Source organism: Homo sapiens, chromosome X (assembly GCF_000001405.40).
Source record: "Homo sapiens chromosome X, GRCh38.p14 Primary Assembly".
Lineage (NCBI taxonomy): Eukaryota > Metazoa > Chordata > Mammalia > Primates > Hominidae > Homo > Homo sapiens.
This window is the reverse complement of record NC_000023.11, coordinates 141,379,784-141,389,632: the sequence shown is the minus strand read 5'-3', so window position 1 is coordinate 141,389,632 and position 9,849 is coordinate 141,379,784. Positions and strand designations below refer to the sequence as shown.

At 35.5% G+C, this 9,849-nt stretch overlaps 1 pseudogene; it reads right to left on the bottom strand.

Annotated features, from left to right (window-relative positions):
• NDUFB3P5 (NADH:ubiquinone oxidoreductase subunit B3 pseudogene 5) lies at positions 8,405-8,856 on the bottom strand (annotated as a pseudogene).

The following is a 9,849-nucleotide window of genomic DNA, read 5'->3' as shown; positions in this document are numbered from 1 at the left end:
ACTTAACCGTATCAAGTGTCTGGTTGTTTTATCCTTAATATAGCAGTAATAATGCACAGTGATATTGTTATTACTGATATTTAGTGAATTGTTCAAAGAATAGGCAACAGGTGTTTGGGGAAGCTGGCCGAGTGGGAAAATATTGAGGAAATATAGGTCCATGAACAGGACTTTCCACTCCATTCTCATAAAGTGATTCTCTTGATTCTGAGATGATAGTGGCAGTAAACACATTTATTTCCTTAGGCCCATCATTTGTGACTAAGCAGACAGGGAAATTGTATGGAATAATGTGTATGAAAACATAAAGGGTCTCATACCCAAATAGATGTAGTCCTTTTATTCTATTCAAATAGAACATCAGGACAATGACTGCAACCATTTAATGGACCTTCAGTTCAGATATTGTTTTATAGTACTTGAAGTTACCATGCTATTCTGGAAAGATTATAGGTTTTGAAGTCAGATCTATTGGATTTTGAATCATTACTTGAATAATGGATGATTGTATAACACAGTGTACATGACAATCTGATTCTTAATTTTATCATTTTCAATGAGGATATCATTATCCATTTACCTCAGAGAGGCATTGTGAGGATTAAAATATTATTTAAAACATGTGATGTGGAACATATTTGTATTAAAGTGCACTCTCTTCTCAGGACTTCACAAGGACCACAGAAGTCTCAGTTGAGAAGTGTGAAATCCAACCTTTGAAATAGATTATGAAACATTAGTAAGTTTATCTGTGTATGTTAGAGTGTGTGTGCAATTATAAATTGGTTTATAGCAAATCACAAGAACACAAAGGCATAACTATGATGCCCTTTTGTTGTTAGCCAACAATACCTACTCATTAGCAAAGAGAGGGTATGGGTAGAGCGGTGCTTGTCCTTATCCAAATCTTATTGTTCCATTATACTGGCAGCTACTGTGGCAGACAGGCCGATGAGGAAAGAGAAAGTCACCAGTGAAAAGGAGCCATTTGATGGTCCTTCTTGTCCTCTCCTAAGTCAGGGTGTTTCCTGCAATCTGTTTTCAAGAATATTTAAAGGTCAGTGGCTTGTTGTAATTCTGATTTATTATTTTGTCATTTTGAGCAAAACTCCAATAATTTTGTTATTGTTTTTCTGTGTATCCTTCCTTCCACTATTTAGGGATTGTAAATATTTTTCTTGTAAGAAAACGGAGCAAATACCAATGACTTGGGTTATATTGCATTTGTTATGCAAGCTTTTTGGCAGGCACCTGCCTCTGAAAGAGAAAGAGCCAAGCACCACTCTATTGGACTTACTAATTTTAGGGTTGCCATGGCTTTAATTTGATTGTTATTTATTGAGCATTCAAACTGTGTTAGGCAGCATAAAGAACACATAGAAAGCATGATGTGGATATTAAGGATGTTATGCCCTAAAAAAGGAAGTCTATTAACTCAAATACAGAATGTATCCAGTTCTGTAATTACTTGCAAAATCTTGATTGGGGAATTCATTTAGCTAGCTTTATATTTAGAAGGTATTTTTTATGTCTTTCTAGTTTAAAACTGTATTGCTCCAAATAGCATTTCAAGACACTAGTGTGCTGATGTTCACATATATGAAGTTATTGGTCCTCTCTTGTAACTTAATCAACAAATATCTCATGAAGTACAGAATACTTGGCAGATACAAAAGACCCTCAGTAAACTAAGTCCTCAGAGAATAAAGCTATATTCATTCTGGATTAGTGTTGGAAAAGTTATTAGGTAAGGATAATGAACACCATAAGAATAATGAGGCTCAGGGGGAGTTGAAGGAGGAGGGGTAAATCTGAGGTTGTCAGAAGAAACAATTCAAGGTTATACTGCAACTTGATACAGAGGAATATGAAAGATTGCCCAGTTCTGCTCTACCAATCTCAGCTGAGCACCAAGAATGTCTTAGGTCCCCTCCAAAGCACTGTAGATATGATAGTGAAGACAGATATGCTCTTTCTGTTTTGAGAAATTCACAGTCTAGCTGCACAGATAGACAGGGAAATGTAATTATTCCTTTGTTCAGCAAATATTTATTGAGTTCTCTTTTCAGACACTGTTCCTGGGGATGGAAAGACAGTGAATAAAAGACACAAAAATTTCTGCCCTCATGACCACATTATAAGTTAGACAGACTAATACAAAGGAGTATGTGTGTGTAGATATATCATCTATGTTTGTATCTATATCTAAGTAGATATAATTTTATATGTAATATAAAGAAGAGGAAGGGCGTGTGCTGCTTCTATAGGAAGGTAGAGGAAGGCCTCAGTAGTAAGGTGACATTGCAGCATTTCATCTGAAGACATACTTACTCTATGCAAACATGAAAAAGTAAGCAATGTAGATATGGGTGTGAGGTGAAACAGCATTCAAAACAGAGGGATTAGAAAATTTAAATACTTTAAAGAACATGGGCATTTTGTCTGTTGGAGATATAGCAAAAAGTCAGTAGGGCTGGAGGGAGCTGATAGGAAGATAACATAGGGCATGTCCCATATCGTTTTTATTTTTGCATTCTCAATGCCTACCACTAACGAATGATTCCACTGAATGATTGACAAACTAAGAAGTGGACAAAAGAGAAATTGATTCTGAAGTTTGGGGCAATGGAGAGTGAATAAATAATATAGAAATATATAGATTCTATACCTAGGAAACCCTAAATACTCCAGCAAAAGGCTTCTGGAGCTGATAAACCACTTCAGTAAAGTTTCAGGATACAAAATCAATGTGTAAAAATCAGTAGCATTTCTATATATCTATAATGTTTAAGCTAAGGGCCACATCAAAAATGCAATCCCATTTACAATAGCCATAAAAATTACATATGAACACATCTAACCAAGCAGGAGAATGATCTCTACAAGAACTACAAACACTGCTCAAAGAAATCATAAATTACACAAATAAAAAAAATTCCATGCTCATGGATTGGAAGAATCAATATAGTTAAAATGGCCATGCTGCCCAAAGAAAGCTACCAATTCAATGCTATTCCTATCAAACTACCAACGTCATTATTTGCAGAACTAGAAAAACTGTTTCAAAATTCATATGGGACAGAAAAACAGCCTGAATAGCTAAAGCAATCCTAAGCAAATAGGACAAAGCCTGAGGCAACTCATTACCTGACTTCAAACTATACTATAAGACTACTATAACCAAAACAACATACTACTGGTATAAAAACAGAGAAGAACAGACAAAAATAGACCAATGGAACAGAATAGAGAAACCAGAAATCAAGCTGCCATTAGACATTTTATCTTCAACAAAGTCAACAAAAATAAGGATAGGGAAAGGACAGTTTTTTTAATAAACGGTGCTGGGATAATTGGCTAGCCATATTCGGAAGAATAAAACTGAACCCCTACCAGTCACCATATAAAAAATTAACTCAAGGTGGATTAAAGATTTAAATGTACGACCTCAAACTATAAGAACCCTAGAAGAAAACCTAGGAAACACCATTCTGGACATTGGCTTCGGGAAAGAATTTATGACTAAGTCCTCAAAGGCAATTGCAACAGAATAATAAATTGACAAGTGGAAACTAATTAAAGTAAAGGGCTTCTGTACAGCAAAAGAAGCTAGCAACAGAGTAAGCTGACACCCTACAGAATGGGAGAAAATATTCACAAACTATGCATTTAACAAAGGCCTAATACCCAGAATCTATGAGGAACAACTCAACAAACAAGAAACAAAGAGCCCCATTAAAAAACGAGCAAAGGACATGAACAGACACTCCTCGAAAAAGACATACAAGCACCCAATAAACATATGAAAAAATGTTCCACACCACTAATCATCAGAGAAATGGAAATCAAAATGTCAGTAAGATATCACCTTACACTAGTCAGAATGGCTATTATTTAAAAGTCAAACAATAATAGATGCTGTGGAGGCTGTGGAGAAAGGGAATGCTTGTACAATATTTGTGGGAATGTAAATTAATTCAGCCACTATCGAAAACAATTTAGAGATTTCTTAAAGAACTTAGAACTATCACTTGACCCAGGAATCTTACTACTGAGTATATACCCAAAAGAAAACAGATCGTCCTACCAAAAAGACACATGCACTCACATGTTCATTGTAGCACCATTCACCATTGCAAAGACATGGAATCAACTTAGGTGCCCAAAAATGGTGGACTGCATAAAGAAAATGTGGCACAAATACACCATGGATTACTACGCAGCCATAAAAAATAATAAAATCATGTCCTTTGCAGCAACAACGAGGCAGCTGGAGGCCATTATCACAAGTGAATTAACACAAAAACAGAAAACCGAATACTTCGTGCTCTCACTTACAAGTGGGAGCTAAACATTGGGTACTCATGGACATAAAGATGGGAACGATAGATACTGGGGACTACTAGAGGTAGGAGGGAGGACAGGGGCGAGGGTTGAAAAACTGTTGGTTACTATGCTCAGTACTTGGGTGACAGAAAAATCTGCATCCCAAACCTCACCATCACCTAATATGCCCAGGAAAGAAACCTGCACGTATACACTCTGAATCTAAATAGAAACCCTAAGAATAAACCAGAAGTAAGCTAAGAGAGTTGTGCACAAATGTGCTCTGTTTGGTATTATATTGGGAGGCTATGGGGATTGGGAACTGCTTCTTAGAGGAGATAACCTTTCAAAACCCTGAAAACATGTAGATGTGCTTTAGGCTTCTTATCTGCCATCTAGCTACTGTGTGTTACCTCATTTTGTCATGTCTAAAATGGGACTAACATTAAAAATCCTGTCTAGCATGGTCTTCTTTTAAATTTCTTATTGTAAATGACAATTTATAATTGCATCTATTTATGGGGTACAAAGTGATGTTTTGCTTTATGAATAGAATGTGAAATAATTAAATTAACTAGTTAACATATCTATCACCTCAAATAGTTAACATATTTATGCAGTGGGAACATTTGAAATTTACTCTTTTATCACTTTAAAAATGTACAATCCTCTATTATTGATTATATTTACCATCCTGTGCAATAGATCTCAAAAACATATTTCTCCTGCCTGAGATTGTGTACCCTTTGGCCATTATCTTCCCTTTCCCCTCACCCTCCAGCCTCTATAACAACCATTCTACTCTCTGCTTCTATAAGTTCAATTATTTTAGGTTTTACAATTAAGTGAGAACAGGTAGTATTTGTCTTTTTGTGCCTGGCTTATTTCACTTAGCATAATGTTCTCCAGGTTTATTCATGTTGTCACAAATGACAGATTTTTCTTATTTTAAAGGCTAAATAATATTCAATTGTCTATATATTCCACATAATCTCTATCCATTAGCCTGTTGATGGGCACTTAGGTTGATTCCATAATTTGACTACTGTGAATAGTGCTGAAATGAACATGGTTGTGTAGATATCACCTCAACAAAATGTTTTCAAACCTTTTGGGCAAATATTCAACACTCAAAAGTGAGATTGCTGGATTATATGGTACTTCTATTCTTACTTTTTTGAGGAATGTCCATGAATTTTTCCAGAAAAGCTGTCCAAATTTATATCTCCCATCAAAAGTGTACAAGGGTTTCTTTTCTCCACATTCTCGCCAACACTTTTTATCTTTCAACTTTTTGATAATATCCATTCTGGTAGACATGAGGTGAAGGCTCATTGTGGTTTTAATGTGATTTTTAAATGATTAGCAATATTGAGCATTTTGCTCATATCTGTTGGCCATTTGTATGTCTCCTTTAGAGAAATGTCTATTCAGGTCCCTTGCCCATTTTTAAATTGGGTATTTTGTTTACTTACTATTGAGCTGTTTGAATTCCTTGTATATTTTGAATATTAACCCTTTATCAGGTATATTGTTTGCATATATTTCCTTCCTACCTGTAAGTATGTTGTCTCTGCACACTGTTATTTGCTTCTTTTAGGTTTGATGTAATCCCAATTGTCTATTTTTGCTTTTCTTGCCTTTACTTTTGGGGTCAAATCAAAAATATCTTTGCCTAGACAAATATGTATTATTCCCCGTACACATTTTTCAAGTAGTTTTATAGTTTCTGGTGTTATGTTTAAGTCCTAAATCCATTTTGAGTTGATTTTTGTATATGGTGTTGAATAAAAATCTAATTTCATTCTTCTGCATATGAATATCTCATTTTCCCAATGCCACTTATGGAACAGACTGTTCTTTTTGCATTGCGTATTCTTGGCACCTTTATTGAAAATCAGTTGAATGTACATGCATGGGTTCATTTCTGTTACATTGGTTGACGTGCCTATTTTTTTTTCTTTTGCCAGTACCATGTTGTTTTTATTACTATAGCTTTTTAGTGTAGTTTGAAATCAGGTAATGTGATACCTTCAGCTTTTTTCTTTTGCTTATGGATGCTTTGGATATTTGATTTTTGTGTTCCATATAAATTTTAGGATTGTTTTTCTATGAAAAATCACATTGTATTTTTGTCTTTATTTCAATAGTTGTAGCAGTACAAGTGGTTTTTGGTTACATGGATAAGTTCTTTAGTGGTAGTTTCTGACATTTTGGTGCACTCATCACCCGAGCAGTGTACACTATATCCAATATGTAGTCTTTTATCCCTTACCCCCCCCCCACCCTTCCCCCCAAGTCCCCAAAGTCCATTATATTTATTGTTCTTATGTCTTTGCATTCTCTTAGCTTAGCTCTCACTTATAAGTGAGAACATATGATATTTGGTTGGCTATTCCTGAGTTATTTCACTTAGAATAATGGCCTCCAGCTCCATCCAAGTGGGTGCAAAGGCCATAATTTCATTCCTTTTATGGCTGAGTAGTATTTCATTGTGTATATGTACCACATTTTCTTTATCCACTCATTGGTTGATGGTCATTTAGGTTGGCTCCATATTTTTGCATTTGGGAATTGGGCTGCTATAAACATAAATGTGCATGTGTCTTTTTCATATGATGACTTCTTTACCTTTGGGTAGATACCCAGTGGTGGGATTGCTGGATCAAATGGTAGTTCTACTTTTGGTTCTTTAAGAAATCTCCATACTACTTCCCATAGTGGTTGCATTAGTTTACATTCTCACCAGCAGTGTAAAAGTGTTCCCTTTTCACTACATCCATTACAATAGCTATTATTTTTTGACTTTTTAATTATGGCCATTCTTGCAGGAGTAAGGTAGTATCTAACTGTGGTTTTAATTTGCATTTCCCTGATAATTAGTGTTGTTGAGCATTTTTTCTTATGTTTGTTTTCATATGTTTGTGTATCTTCTATTGAGAATGTTCTATTCACATCTTTTGCCCAATTTTTGATGGGATTATTGGTTCATTTCTAGCTAATTTGTTTGAGTTCCTTGTATATTCTGAATATTGGTCCTTTGTCGAATGTAAAGATTGTGAAGATTTTCTCCCACTCTGTGGGTTGTCTGTTGTACTCTGTTGATTTATTGTTATTATTATTTTGCCGTTCAAAGACTTTTTAGTTTAATTAGGTCCCATTCATTTATTTTTATTTTTGTTGCATTTGCTTTTGGGTTCTTGATCATGAAATCTTTGCCTAAGCTAATGCCTAGAAGGGTTTTTCTGATGTTATCTTCTTGCATTTTTATGGATTCAGGTCTTAGATTTAAATCTTTAATCCATCTTGAGTTAATTTTGTATAAGGTGAGAAATGAGGATCCAGTTTCAGTCTTCTACATGTGGCTTGCCAGTTTTCCCAGGACCATTTATTGAATACAGTGTCCTTTCCCCACTTTATGTTTTTGTTTCCTTTGTTGAAGATCAGTTGGCTGTAAGTATTAGATTTGACTTTATTTCTGGGTTCCCTATTCTATTTCACTGGTCTATGTGCCTGTTTTTATACCAGGACCATGCTGCGTTGGTAACTATTGATTTGTAGCATAGTTTGAAGTCAGGTAATGTGATGCCTCCAGATTTGTTCTTTTTGCTTAGTCTTGCTTTGGCTATGCAGACTATTTATTAGTTTCCTATGAATTTTATAATTTTTTCTAGTTCTGTAAAGAATGTTGATGGTATTTTGATGGGTATTACATTGAATCTGTAGATTGCTTTGGGCAGTATGGTCATTTTTGCAATATTGATTCTAACCATCCATAAACATGGGATGTGCTTCCATTTTGTGTCATCTATTATTTCTTTCAGCAGTGTTTTTTTAGCTTTCCTTGTAAGATATTTCACTTCCTTAGTTAAGTATATTTCTAAGTATTTTATTATTTTTTTGCAGCTGTTGTAAAAGGGATTCAGTTCTTGATTCGATTCTCAACTTGGTTGTTGGTGTATAACAGTGCTACTAATCTGTGTACATTGATTTTGTATCCTGAGACTTTACTGTATTTGTTTATCAGATATAGGAGCTTTTTGGATGAATCTTTAGGATTTTCTTTTTTTTTACTTTTTTTTAACTTTATGAAATCTTACTAGCATGTTTTAAGGGACAAACTCAAATGAGTAGGCTACAGTAAAAAACTCTTATTTTGGAGAGTTAAAAACCAACTAACATACTTCTATATATTATCTTCAGTGATGCTTCTTATTTTTATTCTGGGACTCCAGGTAATATTCAGCCCCCACAGCTACCAAAAATGCAGCAAATCCTCATTTGAATGCTTTTAATAAGACACCAACAAAGGAAACATTGTTTGCAAAGCCACCCACGTATCTCCAAGTTTCATTGCAGCCCCATGGATACCTTAGCCCTTATGCAGCCAGCATCTGGACAGTTTCTAATGGTGTCCCTTCTATTTTCCATTGTTTATAATCTGGAAGTTCCATTTTACTTTCTTCATGTTCATGTCCATGTCCACAGTCCATGTCTGACAACAATCTGACCTCTCAGGACACTCAACTCAGGATTTTCTAGATATATGTTCATATCATTGGCAAACAGTGACAGTTTGACTTCCGCTTTCCCAATTTAGATTTCTTTTATTTTTATCTCTTTTCTGATTGCTCTGGCTAAGACTTCTAGAACTATGTTGAATAGAAGTGGTGAACCTGGGCATTCTTGTGTTGCTCCAGTTCTCAGGGGGAATGCTTTCAACGTTTCCCCATTCAGAGTGATGTTGGCTGTGAGTTTATCATAGATGGCTTTTATTACTTTGAAGTATGTTTTTTGTTTTGTTTTGTTTTGAGATGGAGTCTCACTCTGTCACCCCAGGCTGGAGTGCAGTGGTGCGATCTCAGCTTACTGCAACCTCTGCCTCCCGGGTTCAAGTGATTCTGGTGCCTCAGCCTCCCGAGTAGCTGGACTAGGGGCGCGTGCCACTGCGCCCGGCTAATTTTTTTTGGATTTTTAGTAGAGATAGGGTTTTGCCATGTTGGCCAGGCTGTTCTCGAACTCCTGACCTCAGGTGATCCACTCACCTCGGCCTCCCAAAGTGCTGGGATTACAGGTGTGAGCCGCCACGCCTGGCAAAGTATGTCTCTTCTATGCCAATTTTGTTGAGGGCTTTTAACATGAGGGATGCTGGATTTTATCAAATACTTTTTCTGCATCTATTTAGAAGATCACATAATTTTTTAAATTCTGTGTATCACATTGCAATTTTCATACGGATTGTACTGCATCTGTAGATGGGGTAGTATAAACATTTTAACAATATTTCTTCTTCTACTCAATAAACATGGGATATCTTTCCATTTATTCATATCTTACTCAATTTCTTCCATCAGTGTGTTGTAGTTTTCAGTGTACAAGACTTTCACCACCTGGGTTCAATTCATTGCTATTTTTTTTTTTTTGTAGCACGTGAATATAAAATTGTTCTCTTGATCTTTTTTGGATAGTTTATTGTTAAGCATACAGAAATGCCACTCATTTCTGTGTGTTCATTTTATATTC